Source organism: Homo sapiens, chromosome 10, assembly GCF_000001405.40.
Source record: "Homo sapiens chromosome 10, GRCh38.p14 Primary Assembly".
Taxonomy (NCBI): Eukaryota; Metazoa; Chordata; class Mammalia; order Primates; family Hominidae; genus Homo; species Homo sapiens.
The window spans coordinates 91,249,057-91,268,585 of NC_000010.11; the positions used below are offsets into that span (position 1 = coordinate 91,249,057).

At 35.0% G+C, this 19,529-nt stretch overlaps 1 protein-coding gene across 16 annotated transcripts in view; it reads left to right on the top strand.

Moving 5' to 3' along the window:
- Positions 1–19,529, top strand: part of PCGF5 (polycomb group ring finger 5) — a 128,119-nt gene that overhangs the window by 92,838 nt on the left and 15,752 nt on the right. For all 16 annotated transcript variants that reach the window (XM_017016776.3, XM_017016777.3, NM_001257101.2 and 13 more), the window contains 3 exons: positions 2,236–2,384; positions 12,270–12,368; positions 15,375–15,464. In XM_017016776.3, the coding sequence (XP_016872265.1) occupies positions 2,236–2,384; positions 12,270–12,368; positions 15,375–15,464 (338 nt within the window). The remainder of the gene's footprint in view (positions 1–2,235; positions 2,385–12,269; positions 12,369–15,374; positions 15,465–19,529) is intronic.

The window sequence follows — 19,529 nt, forward strand, 5'->3', positions numbered from 1 at the left end:
CTAAACAGTGAAGAGTTTTTTGTTTTATTTTGTATGTTTGCCTCTAAAGGAGAGGGAGCTGAGATGTGGCTGAGAGCCAGATCAGGAGATTTTACTATGCTCTGATATTCTGGAATGAAGTTTTTATAAGTAGAGCTCAGGTGATACAAACTTATACATCATGGAAATTTAGAAAGTATTTCTGGGTGCTTATGGGAATTTTCTCCATCACCCAGATTTCTCCTCTGGGTCCCAAAAGACTCAGCAATTAGTAATTTTTAATAATAATTTCAGCAAAGGGGCAAACATTACTGAGCAGATAAAAGGCTTTTAGTGTATATATATATATATATATATATATATATATATATATATATATATATATGTATAAAATCTACACAAAGGGATATTAAAATTATAAGAAACTAGTATCGCTCCCATTTTTTTAAATATGAGATTTAATTTAGGATGTCCTAAATATCATTTAAAGTTATTCAAGAATGTGTGTGTGTTCTTATAGGGTCACTTGTAAGTTCAGCCTCCCAATCTTGGTTTTCCCATAAGATCATAGGATTGTCAATTATACATGATTAAGGTGGATGAGATCTCCCTTTTTTAATCTGTAAAATGGAGATTATCATTTTATTCGTTCAACTTAACTGTGCAAGGCTGTTAGAGCAGGGGAAGTTTGAGAATAGTTTTGATGCTAGAATAAGGTAACAAGAGACTATTTTTTATCTGTAACAACAACAACAAAAAAATGGCAAAGAAGCTAAGCCTGGCCAAAAAAATAACTAGGGCTTGTTTTACCCACGTGTACACTGCAATTAAACAATAACAACCAATTATAGTAGTAGTGCTCTAGTAAAAATACAGATAAGATAAGGCTAATTAAATATTCCAGTTTTTGACTGCCTATTCAAGAGGACAGGAGCCTGAGGGATTGTCATCAGAAGTTACGTGGTAGGTTTACTCTATGGTTCTACGTATCACAGTTTAACTTGTGAAGGGCTGTAGCCTACTTTGTGAATTTTATCTCCCTTTTCCTATTGTTTCTCCCATTTTAAAGTATTTCTGGTATTTGGTCTTTAGCTTGGGTGGAGAATTCAGATTTTTTGTTGGAGCTAGGAGTTTGGTTCATAGAAGGCAACTCCTATCTATGTATATTCTCTATAAATAAGGAGAAGAAAACATGTAGAAAAAAGAGAACCCACCTCCCCGCTCTATGGTATACCTGTAGTGCTTTTACTACAGTCATCAAAAAGGATCTGGCCAGTCACTTTGCAGGGAAGCTTTTCTACAAGTAATGTTTAGCTGGCTGATTTTTTCAAGTGTTAGCTTAGAGGTATCTCATCTGGAAATCGTCCCTGCTTCACTCCCAAAGTTTGGGTTTATTGTCTCTTTTATATGTGCATGCATAGTCCATTTTACCTCTCACATCCTGTATTTGTCTGGTTTTTTCTTTTTTTTTTTTTTTTAGCTTGCCTTTATTTGATTCCATACCCTGACCACTGTGAGAGAGAGGATGATAGCTCTAGTTTCAGTATTGTTCCCTCAGGCCTTGTATGATGTGTATCCAACATATAGTTAGAACTACTCAACAGATGAATGATAAATATAGCTGCATTATTTATAGGCTACAGGTTTGTAATAGGTGAAATACATTTGTATATAATATAAAGTATGCCATTGAGATATCTTTAATGGAGTTGTAACATGTTATGTATTAATAGCTATATACATGTTAAAAAGCTAATTCATTATACTCGTTTTTTTTCACTGGCTGATTTTATGAATAGTAATTTGAAATTTTGAGAACTTAATTTTATCATTTGAAAAGTATTTGGTTTTAATTTGAATATATACTTATTTATAAACGAGTATAATTTATATATACACCTATAAATAATTTGGAAGTATTTTTATATATTCTGTCCACTTTCTAACATAGTCTAATTACTAATTGTAATCATTTTTTTGGCTAAATACAGCTAGTCCTGAATCTTTCATTTGGATGTCCCAATGAGCCTAGAAATCTTAAGCTATGTTAATAAGTTTCCAATTTTTTTTTTTTTTTTTTACAAAATATTTCCATTGCTGAGTTGGTTGGAACATTTTAAAGATACTAAGTTCTTCTTCAAAAACTGTTAGGAAATTTTTTAAAGTTGATTTTTGTTTTGATTATCAATGTATGATTGCTTAACTTTAAAATCAACTTTGATTTATAGCTAACTTAGTTTTGTTTAAATTATACAGATGATACTTCAAAAGCTGACAAACCGAAAGTAGATGAAGAAGGTGATGAAAATGAAGATGATAAAGATTATCACAGAAGTGACCCACAAATTGCTATCTGTCTAGATTGTTTACGAAATAATGGGCAATCAGGGGACAATGTAGTAAAGGTGAGTGAACAAGTACTATGGTATTTTTATGATCAGTTTATAGTAAACCCTTGATAATTTGTTGACAAATTTTCTAATGCTTCAAAATGTTTGCTTTCAAAGTTTTAATTAACATAATTAAATAAAATGCCATTCTTTGACAATCCTATGCTTAGAAATGGTTACTATTCCCACAACTGAACTGTCTTGGGCCAATGCCACCATCTAGTGGCTAATGCCCAGAATCACACCTCTGTTTCTCCTTTTATACCTTTGCTGGAAATTCATATGCATGGTTTCTGTTTTTTAGAGTGGTGACCAACTTAGACTTAGAGAATTTCATGTCACTGGTAGTTCTAGCCCTTTTATTCATTCTCTTCTAATTTTATCCTTTATTTCTCTATTTTTATTTGCAACTCAACAAGATTTCCATGTCAGAGCTAACATATTTTGTGAATAATTTAATCAATTAGTTTTGAAGTAAAATTAGATGTTGTAAAATGCCTCTGAACTTTTAAACTCCTTGAAGGCCCTCAGTTATTTCCTATAGAATCTCCATTTCTGGTACTGTTTTCCTCTGCCTCTGCTAATTGAATCTTTCCTTAGAGGATCTTTATAGGAAGTTTAAAACACTCTGCTTTTATAGATTTTCTTTGGTCTTTAAATGGTGTTACTTTAATAATGTTTTCTACCTTTTTATTACAAGCAGCTTTTATTTTTATTACAAATCTTCACTACTTCAGCTGTTAGATTTTTGTCACTTTATCCTAGCAAATGTCAGCCACTGAGAATATTGTTTATCTCTCTGTATTCTGTGTTTTATTCAAATGCCTATATTCATTGTCTCTAATTTTCTTTTACTTCCTCTGTGTACATCTATAGGCTAGTGGGTTGAATTTTTTACTAATACGTTTAATGGCATTTTCCTATTAGGAAGTGAAAAACAATTTTTCACTTCAGATTAAGTTTTCCTGGCATCTTATAACAACATATATGAGCACAGTAATTCAGTGAATATTTATCCACTATGTGAACAGTAGACAGTGAAGATGTAAGTAGTAAGAAAAAACATCTTTCACTCAAGGAACTTGGTTAGGTCTTATACATACAAATAGTTAAGGTAATTGATTTTGTTAAGGGGAATTTATTGGACAGGGCATGTAATAAAGTGCATCTATCTTTAGAGAAATGACCACTGTACCTATTTATCCTTACAGTATTTTCAGTTGTTTCTTATGGTCTTTCCCAAAAGTCATCCCCCTTTTTGGGAAGTTCTTTTTCATAGAGTTCATGGTCATCCTTTAGCTCTCCAATACATGAGTTAGCTCATACTGAAAGTTAAATCAATGGAAAGGCTGAATATCTTCTCATAAACAAACGTAAAGTCCACTTCTCTGCATGATTTCTCATATGAAAGTATAAAAGATTGAATTTTAGAAATTTATTTGAAAAATTAACCACCCCTGCTTGTTGTTCTCCTTTTTGACATCTTTGACACTTTGCTATTCTAGTTGACCTTTTATCCATTCACTTTTTCCTTTATGGACTTTTCTTCATCCTTGTACCTTCATTCTTAGTTTATAAATGACTTTTACTAAGCTACCCTGATTCTTCCTTTTTTTCCTGTGGCATTCCTGCTTTGTCTCCACTGCCTCTACTTCTTGCCTTCTACTTGATATATGTAAGTATGTCCTAATACTTTCTCTGTATCTATTTTAGGAGATCTTCTCCATTTTCTGTGTGGCTTCAACTACGCAAAGGATTTTTTAACTTTTATTTTAGGTTCAGGAGGACATGTGCAGGTTTCTTACATAAGTAAATTGTGTGTCACAGGTTTGGCGTAAGGTTATTTTGTCACCCAGGTAATAGGCATAATAGTCAATAGGTAGTTTTTCAATCCTGTCTCGCCCCCTACCATTCCACCTTCAAGTAGGGCCTCATGTCTGTTGTTCTCTTCTTTATGCAAAGGACTTTTAAGTCCTCATTTCCAGCCCTGCTTTGTTTCCCAAGCTGAAGTGTTATGTCTCTATTTTTAAATAGACCAGTTGAGAGTTTCACTAACACCGGAAACTTGACTTGTCTAAGTTGTCTAATTCATTATACTTTCATCTAACTTTGGTCCAAACATGCAGTTTTAGTTATGACTGCTGTCTTTCAGCCAATCAAATAAGTTCAAAAGCTTCGCGTCATCTTTGATCTGTTACTCTTTTCTTTCAACCAGTCACTAAGTCCTGCAAAATTCCCCCAGTTTAGTGCTGCTCACCCTTATATCTACATTTTTTAAGTAGTTATTAAGTGTTTTCTGTACCCTTAATTTTTCTTTTGTTATCCAGGGCTAGGGCCACTTGCCTGAGTGTGTGTAAGGCCCAGAGTGAGGGCCATGACCAATCTCAGGGTCAGATGGTAAGTATTTTAGGCTCTGTAGGCCATATGGTCTCTGTTGCAATTTACTCAACTTATTCATTATAGCACTAAAGCAGCACAGACAATAGTAAATGAATGGGCTTGGTTGTGTTTCAATAAAACATTACTTACAGAAATTGATGGCCAGCCAGATTTGGCCTGAGGACATGGTCATTGTACAGGCCAAAAGTTTGCCACCTTTTGGCCTGTACAATTAAGTCATAACTCCTTACATTAGTATTCAAGGCCCTTCCCTAACAAGCACCTCTTTTAATAAGTTTATCTCCCATTAAACCCATTAGTAAATCGTCCTTTCAAAACAAGTGATTATTCCTTTATGTATGTGTTCGTTCTCTCTCTCTGTCTCTTCCCCTCCACCTCGTGTGTGTGTGTGTGTGTGTGTGTGTGTTGGAAACCATATATCTGACAAAAGATCTGTATCTAGATTATATAAAAGCTTGTGTTATGAATACTTAAGACCTCTAAAACTTTGAACAACCCTTCCTTTTTGGCGTGTTCTTTCCTCTTCCACCATCCTATGCTTCTGTCAAGACCCAGAGATTTTTATTTTTTGTGACGCTTTTCCCAACCTAGTGAATCCCTTTTCTGAAATTCTGTAGTACTTATATTTATCTGTCAATTAGGGATTAGTTTGTTATCTATTAAGGATGTGCCTAAGAGTTCTAGGCACTGATACTATCTTTTTTTTATATGTGTGTTGTCCTTGATACTAGACTGTAAATCCCTTAGTGGCAGAGACACAATGTCTGTATTGCTTTATAGCCTTCTCAGCCATCTCATTCCTCTGCAGTAGGATGTGATTCACAAATGTGGTGGGGCAGTAGTTGCATGTATAGTTTATACAGAATATCTACTGCTTTTATAATACAGAAGTCAAAGTCAAGAGTGGGATGTCAATAAAAAGAGTAGAGTAAGTATCTCTGAAAATTCACTTTTCCATGAAAGTATAAAAATACTGGCAAAAATGTTCAGTGTCAGCTTTTTCAGAGATCTGATATTAAACAAAGGCTTATAGATGCATATAGAGCATTTTATCAAGAAGATGACTAACTATCAGTATAAAGGGTGAGCTTTGTGGCATTTTAACTTGCTTTAGTTCCAGCCCCTGCTCAAATTCTGCAGTAGCCTTGAAAATAACAGCCTGCTTTCCCATTGCAGCCTCTCAGGGACCAAAGGGAAAGAACAGAGGTAGAGCTTTTTCAAAGCCTCATTGCCAAAGAATGGTCATTATTTGACTTGTCTGGTTGTTTCCTCGGAGACCCCACTTACAAGATTGTCAGTATTCGACTTGACTTGGAGCTTGCCCCCATGGAAAAAGCCTTCTCTGTGGGTGGGGGAAAGGGGCATTTGTCAAAAACAATTACAGGCAAATGTTTCAACTTTACAACTGCCTGAGGTATAGATAACATTTGGAGCAAACAAGAGACTAACCAAAAAGCTTAAATGGAAAAGCTGGAGAGTGAGATGTCCCTAGGAGCTTCAAAAGGCTGTGACATATTCCTTGAAATCTAGAGGGCCACGTGCATATGTAGAGTTGTATGCATGTTCAGGAAGGACCTGAGAAGGCCCTAAGCTCTCACCTCTGCCTCACCTTGAGGTGGTCTGCACGAGTAGGAAGTGAAGACTAAGGCAGAGTTGTCAACACCTTAGTTGAATATTGGTGGTATGCCCCCAAACACATACCCAGATTCTTGGCAAAGACTGAGCAACTTAATGGCTCCAGATGTGTAAAGAAATCTCTGTTCCATTATTAGCTGACCTCTAGGCAGAAACTTTCATGACTACATATGGTAAAGAATACAGACTTTATGGAATTAGTTTAGGACTGAAGAGCAGGCAGGAATCTGATTTCCAGTATTGCAACATTATATTATTTAAAATGTCTAGTTTCAACAACAACAACAACAAAATATGGGAGATACTAACAAATACAGTGGTCCCTCAGTATATGTTGGGGATTCATTCCAGGACCCTTCATGGATAAGAAAATCTGTGGATCCCATGTCCCTTATATAAAATGGTGTAGTATTTGCACGTAACGTATGCACAACCTGCTATATACTTTAAATCATCTCTAGATTACTTGTAATACCTAATACAATGCAAATGCTATGTAAGTAGTTGTTAATACTATATTATTTTTATTATTGTTATTTTTATTGTTTTTAAAAATATTTTTGATCTGTGATTGCTTGAATTCACAAATGCAGGACTGCAGTTACAGAGAGCTGATTGTTTGACCCATACACAGGAAAAGAAGCAGTCAATAGAAACTGTCGCTGAGGAAGCCCAGACATTGTACTTATTAGGCATAGATTTGAAATTATCTATTTAAATATGCACAAAGAACTAAAACCATGGTCTGGGCACTATATGAAAATACAAGAATGATCTCACCAAATACAGAATATTAAATGTCTTTTAATATTCTGGAGTTGAAAAGTATAGCAACAGAAATGAAAATTTTACTGGTGAGGCTCAACAGCAGACTTGAGCCAAAGAAAAAGAACCTGTAAAATTGAAGTTAAATGAATTGAGATTATTCAGTCTGAGAAACAGAAAAATAGAATGAAGAAAAATGAACAGGTCCTCAGAGAGCTGTAGACACCATCAAGCTTACCAGCATACACATAATGGAAGTTCCAGAAGGAGAGGAAATGGAGAAAAAAGGACAGAAAGTATATTTGAAGAAATAATGGCCCCTAAAAACCAACCAAATTTGATGAAAAATATTAAACATTTGAGAAGCTTAACAATCTTCAGGTATGATAAATTCAAAGAAATTCATACCTAGGCACATCATAATCAAACTATTCAAAGACAAAGAGAGAATCTTGAAAGCAACAATATAAAAGTGACTCATGCACAAAGGACCCCCAGTAGGGTTAGTAGCTGATTTCTCACCAAAAGCTGTGGAGGATAGAAGGCAATAGGATAATATATGCAGAGTGCTCAAAGAAAGAAAACTGTCAACTAGTTAAGTCTATATTCATCAAAAATCTATAGCCTTCCAAAAGGAAGGAGAAATTAAGATATTCCCATGACCTTGGATTTGGCAGTGGATTCTTAGAAATGACACCAAAAGCACAAGCAACAAAAGAAAAGAAATAGATAAATTGTAAATGTAAAACTTCATTAAAATGTAAAACTCTTGTGTATCAAAGGACACTTAAAGTGAAAAAAGTTACAGAACGGGAAAAAATATTTGCAAATCATGTCTGATAAGCCTTTAATGTACAGGTATATGAAGAACTCTTATAAATCAACAATAAAAAGATGGCCCAATTTGGAAAAAGGCAAAAGGCTTGAATAAACATTCCTCTAAAGAAGTTATAAAAATGACCAATAAGCACAGGAAAAGTTGCTAAATATCACTAGTCACTGGGGCTCTGCAAATCAAAACCACAATGAGATATCATTTTATACCTACTAGGATGGCCAGAAATTTTTTTTAAGGAAAATAATAAATGTTAGAGAATGTGGACAAATTGAAACCTTATACGTTGCTAGTGGGAAGGTGAAAGTGCAGCTACTGTGGAAAACACTTTAGCAGTTCCTCAAAGAGTTGACGTGGTAATTCCACTTCTAAGTATGTGATCATATCCAGTAGTCCCCCCCTTATCTGTGGAGCATATGTTCCAAGACCCCCAGGGGATGTTGCAACCACAGATAGTACCAAATAATCCTGTATATACTGGTTTTTTTAATTTGATAACTGAGATAGCTAAGTCACTAATGGACAGGTGGCCTATACAGCATGAATATGCTGGACAAAGGGAGGATTCACAACCTGGGCAGGACGGAGTAGGATGGTGCAAGATTTTAACATGCTATGCAGAATTGTATGCAGCTTAAAACTTATGAATTGTTTATTTCTAGAATTTTCCATTTTGTATTTTTGGACAGTGATATATTGACTGGGTAACTGAAATCAAGGAAAGTGAAACTGCAGATAAGGAGGGACTACTGTATAAAAGAATTGAAAACATGTTCACACAAAATCTTGTATATGTATATTCATAATAGCATTATTTGTAATAGCCAGAAAGTGAAAACAACCCAAATGTCTATCAGCTGATGAATGGAAAAGCAGAATGAAAGGAAATGTGATACTATTCAGTCATAAACTGCAATGAAGTACTGATACATGCTACAAAATAGATGAATCTTGAAAACTTTATGCTAAGTGCAAGAAGCCAGACACAAAAGGTCACATATTATGTGATTCCATTTATACGAAATATCCAGACAAGGATAAAGACAAAGTAGATTAGGGTTGTCAGGGGATGGGAGGAGGGAAGGTTGCGGAGTGACTGTGAATAGATTTGGGTTACTTTTGAGGATGATGAAAATGTTTTGGAATTAGATCATAGTAATGGTTGTACAACTTTGCGAATAGTATAAAAACTATAATTAATCTGTGAAAGATTGTAAGTAGTGATACAAACATCATTTCTGGAGATTCTTCCTAATTTCTTGACAGATGAAAAATACACAAATTAAGAGTCTTCCAGTACAGGTTGAGTATCCCTTATCCAAAATGGTTGGGACCAGAAGTTTTTTGGGTTTTGGAATATTGGCATTGTATATACTTACAGTTGAACCTCCCAAATCTGAAATGAATGAGTGTCATGTCAGCCCTCAGTTTCAGATTTTGGGACATTTCAGATTTCAGACTGGGGATGATCAACCTACACCCTTATATTCTTCTCTGACTTAACTGGGGCTTGTAAAAATGTGCTAATGATTCTTTGTAAGCTGTTTGGGGCAAGAAGAAAATTGACAGGAAACCTTGGGATAGTTGAGAAGGTGAACAGATAACAGAGAAGATAGACGTGTACATTTATCCCTTTGTTTTCATGCTGTCTAGAATATCCGTCTTCACATTTGAAATGGGTAGAATATGTGTTGATTTAGATGTAACTTTTAACTTCTGTTTTCTTTTAATGGATATTTTATCATCTGTATTGTGACCAGGTTGTTATTTGTTAATTTATTTCTGTTGGTCTTTGCCAGGAAATATGTTTTGCTAGGAAAACATTTGCTAGGAAATAAACATTGACTGAACAGTTGTGACTTAGTGATGCTGACCTCATTTCCTATACATACAAATAGGAGTAATATCTTTAAAAGATTCTATTGTTGTTTTGTGTGTTTTAGTATTCTGATAACTTTTGAGGTTGTGGAATGTAATTTTGTTTCACATATTGGTTCGTGTTTATTATGTCTACAACCTCATTTTACTTCATTTTCAGCTTGGGTGTCCCTTCTGGATTGGTTCTTATATTTTAGTGATAGTCAAGCTTAAAGAGTGAATTAGTACTGCTCTGCACATTTTACAAATGAGACACATCAGGCACAGAGAAGTTTGTTCTTCCAGTAAAGTACTGGCACAGCCTATCAGACACTATTCTCCCCAACACAAGGTCCACACTATGCAACTTCTAATTTCTGGGGCATGCTGTGGCCTAACCAGCCTCTCTCTGTTGAACCCTATGGCTCCTCAGGGTCCCATTTGACATCACTGCTCTTTCTGAAATTATTTAAAAGCTGTGATACCATGTTTTAGAAAATGTCCCTCATGTTTCAGAAGTTATACTTTATAATCTTCACAGAATTGGAAAAAACTAAAGTTCATATGGAACCAAAAAAGAGCCCGCATTGCCAAGTCAATCCTAAGCCAAAAGAACAAAGCTGGAGGCATCACGCTACCTGACTTCAAAGTATTCTACAAGGCTACAGTAACCAAAACAGCATGGTACTGGTACCAAAACAGGGATATAGACCAATGGAACAGAACAGAGCCCTCAGAAATAATGCCGCATATCTACAACTATCTGATCTTTGACAAACCTGACAAAAACAAGAAATGGGGAAAGGATTTCCTATTTAATAAATGGTGCTGGGAAAACTGGCTAGCCATATGTAGAAAGCTGAAACTGGATCCCTTCCTTACACCTTATACAAAAATTAAGATGGATTAAAGACTTACATGTTAGACCTAAAACCATAAAAACCCTAGAAGAAAACCTAGGCAATACCATTCAGGACATAGGCATGGGCAAGGACTTCATGTCTAAAACACCAAAAGCAATGGTAACAAAAGCCAAAATTGACAAATGGGATCTAATTAAACTAAAGAGCTTCTGCACAGCAAAAGAAACTACCATCAGAGTGAACAGGCAACCTACAGAATGGGAGAAAATTTTTGCAACCTACTCATCTGACAAAGGGCTAATATCCAGAATCTGCAATGAACTCCAACAAATTTACAAGAAAAAACAACCCCATCAAAAAGTGGGCAAAGGGTATGAACAGACACTTCTCAAAAGAAGACATATATGCAGCCAACAGACATGTGAAAAAATGCTCATCGTCACTGGCCATCAGAGAAATGCAAATCAAACCACAATGAGATACCATCTCACACCAGTTAGAATGGCCATCATTAAAAAGTCAGGAAACAACAGGTGCTGGAGAGGATGTGAAGAAATAGGAACACTTTTACACCGTTGGTGGGACTGTAAACTAGTTCAACCATTGTGGAAGTCGATGTGGCGATTCTTCAGGGATCTAGAACTAGAAATACCATTTGACCCAGCCATCCCATTACTGGGTATATACCCAAAGGATTATAAATCATGCTGCTATAAAGACACATGCACACATATGTTTATTGTGGCACTATTCACAATAGCAAAGACTTGGAACCAACCCAAATGTCCAACAACGATAAACTGGATTAAGAAAATGTGGCACATATACACCATGGAATACTATGCAGCCATAAAAAATGATGTGTTCGTGTCCTTTGTAGGGACATGGATGAAGCTGGAAACCATCATTCTCAGCAAACTATCACAAGGACAAAAAACCAAACACCGCATGTTCTCACTCATAGGTGGGAATTGAACAATGAGAACACATGGACACAGGAAGGGGAACATCACACTCTGGGGACTGTTGTGGGGTGGGGGAGGGGGGAGGGATAGCAGTAGGAGATATACCTAATGCTAAATGACCAGTTAATGGGTGCAGCACACCAACATGGCACATGTATACATATGTAACAAACCTGCACGTTGTGCACATGTACCCTAAAACTTAAAGCATAATAATAATAATAATAATAAAAGCTTAAATAATAAAAAATATATATATTTTTATGCTTTTTGTGACCTTTTTTTCTTTTTAAGCTCATGTTTTCTTTACTAAAATGTCTAGAGGTAAGCAGATTGCCTATTTGCCAGGATTTTCCTAGTACACATGATAATATATTCTTGAAGAATGTCATGTAAGTATCCAATAATTAGGAATATTTTTACTCGCAAATACTAAAAAGCTATAAATTGAAATGTTTTCACAATACATTTTAAAAATACTCAAAATGATAGTGAAACTGGTAGCTATGGTTTCACCAGAAGCAAGATAGAACATTTTAACTGGTAGAACATTTTAACTGGTAATCTTTATTTCCTTTAGGGTTTAATGAAGAAATTCATTCGATGTTCTACACGTGTAACTGTGGGAACTATTAAAAAATTTCTAAGTTTAAAACTAAAACTTCCAAGTTCTTATGAGGTAAGTTAAATAATATCTAAGCTTGATCATTTTGATAATTCTGATTTGAAGTAAAATTCTAACAAAAGTGAAAACTGAGAATATATTCAAATTAATTTTTGTGGAAACTTTGATTATTTTTGTGTTAAAAATTTAATTTTCAGAATGTATTATTCTACTTAGGTAATATGTGTACTCTAATTGAACATATCCTGAATAAACTATGATACTAATACATTTAGTGTTTTATAATTAGAGGAGATATTTAAAGAACTTAACATTAAGTACTCCCAAAATAAATATACCAGCTAAATGTATTCATGCCTTAGGGCATGTCATTTTTTATCTGAGATCTTTGAGATCCATTATTACCAATTCTTTATAGACTTCTTCAGAATGTAAAACATTGTCTTTTTATCACAAGGAATTTCATAAGTAATCACATTTCCGTGAAATGCAGAAGTGGTTTTGTTTAGCAGTAGATATAACCAACATATTATAGCTGCATAAATGTAATTTACCAGTTTATTTACAGAAGAGGTAAACTGCCCTGATATTAATCACAGCATAGCTTTTCATGTGTTCCATGTTTAGAGAATGTTTTTAATCCTAGAGTTATAACTAAAACATAGTAAGGAAATATCATTTCTCACCTGCCTAAATGATGATCTTTCAACTCATTAATTTCCCCTTCTTCCCTTTCGAGTTCTGATAGTAGCATCTAGAAAATTAAAGACCAGGCCAGGCGTGGTGGCTTATGCCTGTAATCCCAGCACTTGGGGAGGCGGAGGCTAGTGGGGTCACTCAAGGTCAGGAGTTTGAGACCAACCTGGCCAACATGGTAAAACCCTGTGTGTTCTAAAAATATAAAAATTAGCCGGGTGTGGTGGCAGGTGCCTGTATTCTCAGCTACTCAGGAGGACAAGGCAAGAGTCACTTAGGTGAACCTGGGAGGCGGAGGTTGCAGTGACCCGAGATCACGCCACTGCACTCCAGCCTGGGCGACAGAGTGAGACTCCATCTCAAAAAAAGAAAAGAAAAGAAAATTAAAGACCAGGACTAGTTTCCTATATAAACAAAGACATCAAAGAAAAGGCAGCATAGTTTTTCTGGCTTATCTGCAGTAATATGAATATCATGAAGAGTCATCATAGGAGACATAAAATGTGATAGACATTGATAGGTATTATGTCCATGTTTTGAGGAAGCCGCTGATCCTGAGCTTATTTGAAAATTTCTCTCAGATGACTAGTCTATGGGTTGAAAATTGTTATTATGGTATGGTTCTACAAATATTTTTTAAAATTCTAGAGACATCAACGTTTGTATTAGGAAAAAATTATGGAAGTTAACTATAAAGCCCAATGTACTTGGTAAAAATAAATGATAGTAACAATGTATGGATACAACTACAGTGAAAAATAGACAATAAATTGTTCTTATGATTTGGTTTGCACTTTATTTTCTTCACGCAAAATACCATGTATGGTTTTATTTCCTTTTAAGTCTGATTCATTGAGTTAACATTTTCTAATTTTTAGAAAGCTGTTATTACTAAGAGAACTGTTACTCTTACATAGTCTTACTTCTGGCATGTATATATTTCGCTATAAACAAAGATGGAAGGGGGAGAGATTCAGTACGCTGACACCTCCTTATGTATCCCAATGCAAAGGACTTTTCCTGTGACTTTTGGGAATCTTTTTCAGTTCCCCCCTTATTTTGCTGCCTAGTATGCAGGGGGATTATTTAATGAAATACCTGACAGCTGAAGCTTTTGTAACAGCATTGCTAACTGGGGCAAGATAGTTTAGTTGTTAAACGACATTAACAGATGCAATATACCTGATTAGCAAAATGCATCCTAAGTGAGACCCTTTACTTTGCTTATGAATTAATTTACAAAAAAGATAAAAATGAAATTATCTCCTTTATTCTTTCAAAAGTTAATAAAATGATGCCTGAAAAACATTTTGAGGTCCGTATAAGTCATCATAAATCATCAAAAAATCAATAATTTTGCTTCACATGTCTAATACAATTAACTGAAACTATACTCATCTTAAAGTTCAAAACTGTAGTCTCTGTCTAGCCAGATGCAGAATTATTTAAAACTCATTCTTCTTCCCCTCCCACACTTCAAATGAAATCTTTCCAGTTTGTTTTTAATAGCTAGAGAACTAAAATGTTATATTATTTGTAGGGATCGATGATAAACATTTGCTTAATTATGCTTTCTTGAATTAGTGAATTATAGCCACAGTTCCTGTAGCCTTCTTAAAGATTTAGGGGTTGTTCGGTTCTTGCAACTTCGAGCAAAACTTAACGCTGATAAGTATGCTTTTTTGAAGCTTTGTGCAAAGTGGGAAGAGGATCCTGTAAGTATTGTGCAAATCACTGACCAGGCAAACCAGAGAAGCCAGACAGCCCTAAGAGACACAGACCTGTGGCATAGTCGTAACTTTTGTATCAAATTAGATATTGGTAATTACTGAAAATTCTCATATACCTTTAAGGCCCCATAAATCACTGTATCCACATTCATTAATTTCCCTCTTCAACCCCAAACTAATAAGAAGATAGTAACCCCTTCAAATCTCAGGAAGGTGAAAGAATTCTGAGAGAGGAATTGAGAAGCCAAAGGAGCTGAGAGGAACTGTGAGGTTTCTGCAGGTTCTTGTTCAGAAAGGGGCAGTCACAGAACTATGCCTTAAACCTCTAAGAGACATGACAGAGATTTGGACTAAGAAAGGTTACATTGCATTTGTAAATTATGTGTATGAACTTGAGATACAGGTATATGGGACAAGATAAACAGTATCTTGTATATAGTATACAGCATAGTAACAGTATATAAGTAACATATCCAAATTGTTAATGCTTTAGGAGAATAAATGCCTCCTATTTAAAATAATGGATAATACTTTTGTTCCAACTATTTGAATATTTTTTGAAATTTCAAAAAATATGCAAAATACTTTTGAATTCAACATTATGTTAATAGATCTATAATGATTCTTTTTAAAGTTGGATGTGCTGTGCAATGGTGAAATTATGGGGAAGGATCATACTATGGAATTCATCTACATGACAAGATGGCGACTAAGAGGCGAAAACGTAAATTGCTTTTATATTTACCTATGTGTTTATTTAGTTATATACCATTATGTTACTCAAATTTAACAATATTAGAAACTAAAAAAGACAAACTAGCTTGGGAAGGAGAAGAAACTGGTTTTTCTTGCTACTGTTTCTCCTAGCACTCTGATAATTGGTCCTATGTATAAAATCAAGGTCTGTGGTAAATGTGATTGTATTAGATTTAAAGTGAGATTAAAACCCTATCTAAATATGTTCAGGACTCTACTAACCAAGACAGAGAAAATGACATATTTTTTAAACCCAATAAGTTGTTGGAACATTTATGTATATGGAATGGGAGTGGGGGAAACTTAAGTTCTCCCCTAATATGATTAATGGTTGATAAGGGTGTTTATTTTTGGTTGTGGTAGAGGGGACACATAGGGTAGAATCTAAATAATCTTCTTTCAGGTACCTCCTTTTCGTTGAAAATATAAACTCGGACTTAAGGGTAAGTGAGTTTGCAGTGCTTTCTGATGCCAGAATTAGATTATTGTGCCTTAGGCCCTAAGCATATGGGAGAAATGATTCAAAGGAGAAAACCAAAGAAAACCCAAAAAACCCAAAAGGTGAATTTTGTATTTTGAACTATGTCTTTGATTCTGGTTAATTCTGTAGGACTAATATATAAGACTGAGATATGAGACTAAGGAATACAGTAGTAACTTAGGTTCTACTAAGTTCTATAGTAGTAACTATAACTTAGGTTCAAGCATGGGATATTAGGCAAATTTGAGGTACTAGGGATTGTAGGACTCATATATGACACTAAGGAATATAGCAGTAATGCTATCAGAAATTATCTTCATAATCTGAGTGCATAAATAAATAAATATGAATTAAGATTGGCTATAAGGTTGGAGTAGATAACATCTAAGATTATCTTTTGGACATTAAGATTCTGTGTTTATGATACAATATGCCATACTCTGTGTAATTTATTCTGTAAACTAGATTTATTATATTTTCTCATGAAAATGTAAATCATAAAAAAAAACAAAATTAAGAAATTTGACCTCACACAAGAATAAGAAATAAGAATCCAGATATAATGAGGGTTGCCATGTTACCATATTTCCAAAACATATTTATATTGAATGTAAACATTTGTGGAATTATTATAAAACAAGCCTCAAAAACTCATTGTCTTATGGGTAAGATATTTGGCTCTTTGCAGAAGAAATGTCTTGATATCATATAATAATAAATGAAGCACCTACATTTGTAAATCAGAAGTTTTTTTCCTGCTTGAGATGTAGTAAAAGCCCTGCTTAAAGCCTTCTTTGTGAGACTGAACGCTTTCGCTAGCAGCAGGAAGAAAAAATTACATTCTAACACCAGCCACCAAATAGTGTGTGGCCTTGAAGAACTTGTCATACATGTTTGTGGCTCATATTTTTAAAGATCTAACTACCTTTGTATTTGGTAAATTAACAACCTGCCTTTCTGTAACATTTTATAATGTTTTAAATGATTGTACATACATCAATCACCCTCAGTTAATCCTTACAACCAAAATGTTCCAGGTACCAGGTACAGATTGCACAGGTAGTAAATTCTTTCTTACCCAATACTGTTGAGGAATGGATATTATGATATTACACATAATATTGTGTTGAATGTAACTTCAGCTTTCTTTGATAGTTTAGCGGGCATTGCAGTGTGTTTTAGTGACTGAAATCATCGTGATGAATAGACTTGCCTTAAGGTTAAAGAGATGTAAGTGGTCATCCACTGCACGACCTCTACAAGTGGCTCACTTGTTCTTTACAAGAACTCCTCCCAAAGTTGCCCCAGCTGCCATTATTTTAATGTCAAAGTATGAAAGAGCTAATTTATAGACATTTTTAGTAAGAGACTATGATTTAAATCAGTCCTTACTCTAATTACCTTTCTGATTACATATTTGTGAATAGTTTAAATTTTTTGGTTGTTTAAGGCATATTTTAATAAAAGTTCAAAAAGTGATTCAGTAGCTATGGTTTATCATTCAGGTGGAAACTAAACCAATAAACAGAAAAATTACTACCTTTTACATTTAGTGCAACAGTAAAGTAATATATTAGCCCATTTCATTTCTTGGTGTGACAAACCTGTTTTTTAGTTGCTTTCCTTCTCCAAACCTGTTTCACCCTCAGTCATCACAACCTCAATAGTTCTAAGATTGGTAGCTCCATTTTTCCAGTTGCTCAGACCAAAATCCCTGATGTCAGCACTGATTGCTGCCTTTTTCTTTCATCCATCCTTTCTTAGCAAATTCTGTAACCTTCACCATCAAAATATACATTCAGAATCCAGCTATGTCTCACTACATCCACTTCACTACTAGTCCAACCCACCATCGCCATTCTCCTAGCAAGGCTCTGTGCCACCACCCTTGTCCCACCTCTATCTTCACCTCACACAGCAGCCAGCGTGATCCTCTTAGGACAGGTTAGAACATGCCCACTCCGTTCTCTGATTCCTCCAATAATGTTTAATTTAGGTAAAATTCAGAATCTTTCTAGAGACCTACATATGTGGCCCCCATACAGTCTTCCCCAGATACTCTGTCTCCTCGTTTATTCTGTCTCCCTGGCCTCACAGCACTCCAGCCACACTGGCCTGTTTTCTCAACCACACCCCACTTGCCCTCACCTCCCCTGGTATCCACCTACCTCGTTTCCTTTACCCCCTTCACTTAAATAATTTTGCTTCTACCTCACCTTCTCAGTGAGGCCTCTGACCTCCTCTAAAACTACAACCCCCTCTCCCGATGGCATTCTTACTCCCTTTTCATGCCTTATTGTTTTCCATAGTATTTCATACCACCTCCGGCATATTATGCCTCTTATTTATGTTTATTGTTTGTCCTCCAAGTAAAATATAATCTGAGGACAGGGATTTTTGTTTGTTCACTGCTAAATCTCCAGCACCTAGGGCAGTGCCCAGCATATATACTCAATCAATACTTGTTCAAAGAATAAATTGAATGAAAATGTTATCTTTTACAAGGTAATGGTTATGCAAAATATATCCTACAGATAATTTTTATTTATCTGAATCTCAGCTTCCTTTTTTTCTGTTAAATTTTCAATTTTTGTTCAACTTCCAATTACAAATTATTATAATATTAATAGATGAATTCTGACAGTTGAGTGACATGGACGAATGCAGCAGTATCACTAAAACAATCATTTCTTGATTGAGCTCCTGTAGCATATTGTTGTGATCACATCCCTTCTTATTTAATCATCCACTGCCAGCAAGATGCCAGGATGTCTGAAGAGCTCTTATTAGTCTACCTATTGGCTAACTAGCTCTGCCTTGGGCTGGAGTCAGCTTATTTCCTAAACTAATGACCACTATGTGGTTCTTTTTCTTGTTTCTATTGCTTTTTTGTATTAAACATTTTAAGCTACCCAAGATTAATTTATTTATACAAAAACACAAGGTTAAGATTCTAATTTATTTCAAATTGTTTTTAAATCAGAAATACAATGTATTGAATATTGAATAATCCATATTTAACCTTATTGTTTTGAGATGTCACCATGTCTGTGCGTATGTGTGTATATGTGTGTGTGTGCATATGTGTGTGTGTGTTCCTAGACATTGTTTTGTTCTTGTGAGCAGGTCTTACTCTGTACCAGCATTACACATCATCTACCTTTTATAAAGATCTGGCCACATAACACCCCTATCTAAAACCCTCCAGTTGTCTACTTTCTTTGGGATAAATTTGGATGAAGTTTAAACATGTTTTATAAGGCAAATAGTTGGGCCTTCTAGGTTGCTTTATGATGTGTATTAGTACCTATTAGGGAAAAATCCCCAATTATTCTTTTGAAAATTGTGTTGACTAGTTTTACCCATTTATTCTTCCAAATGAGCTTTAGAATAGGATTGCGACTGGCATTGCGTTATATTTCTAGATTGATTTGGCTGGAATTGGCATCTTTGCGGGTTTTTTATTCTATTTGGCACTATGGGATGTCTCCTCATCTATTCTACACACTGTGAGTAGATCTGTCATTTTCTTTCCTCCTCATATTGGATACC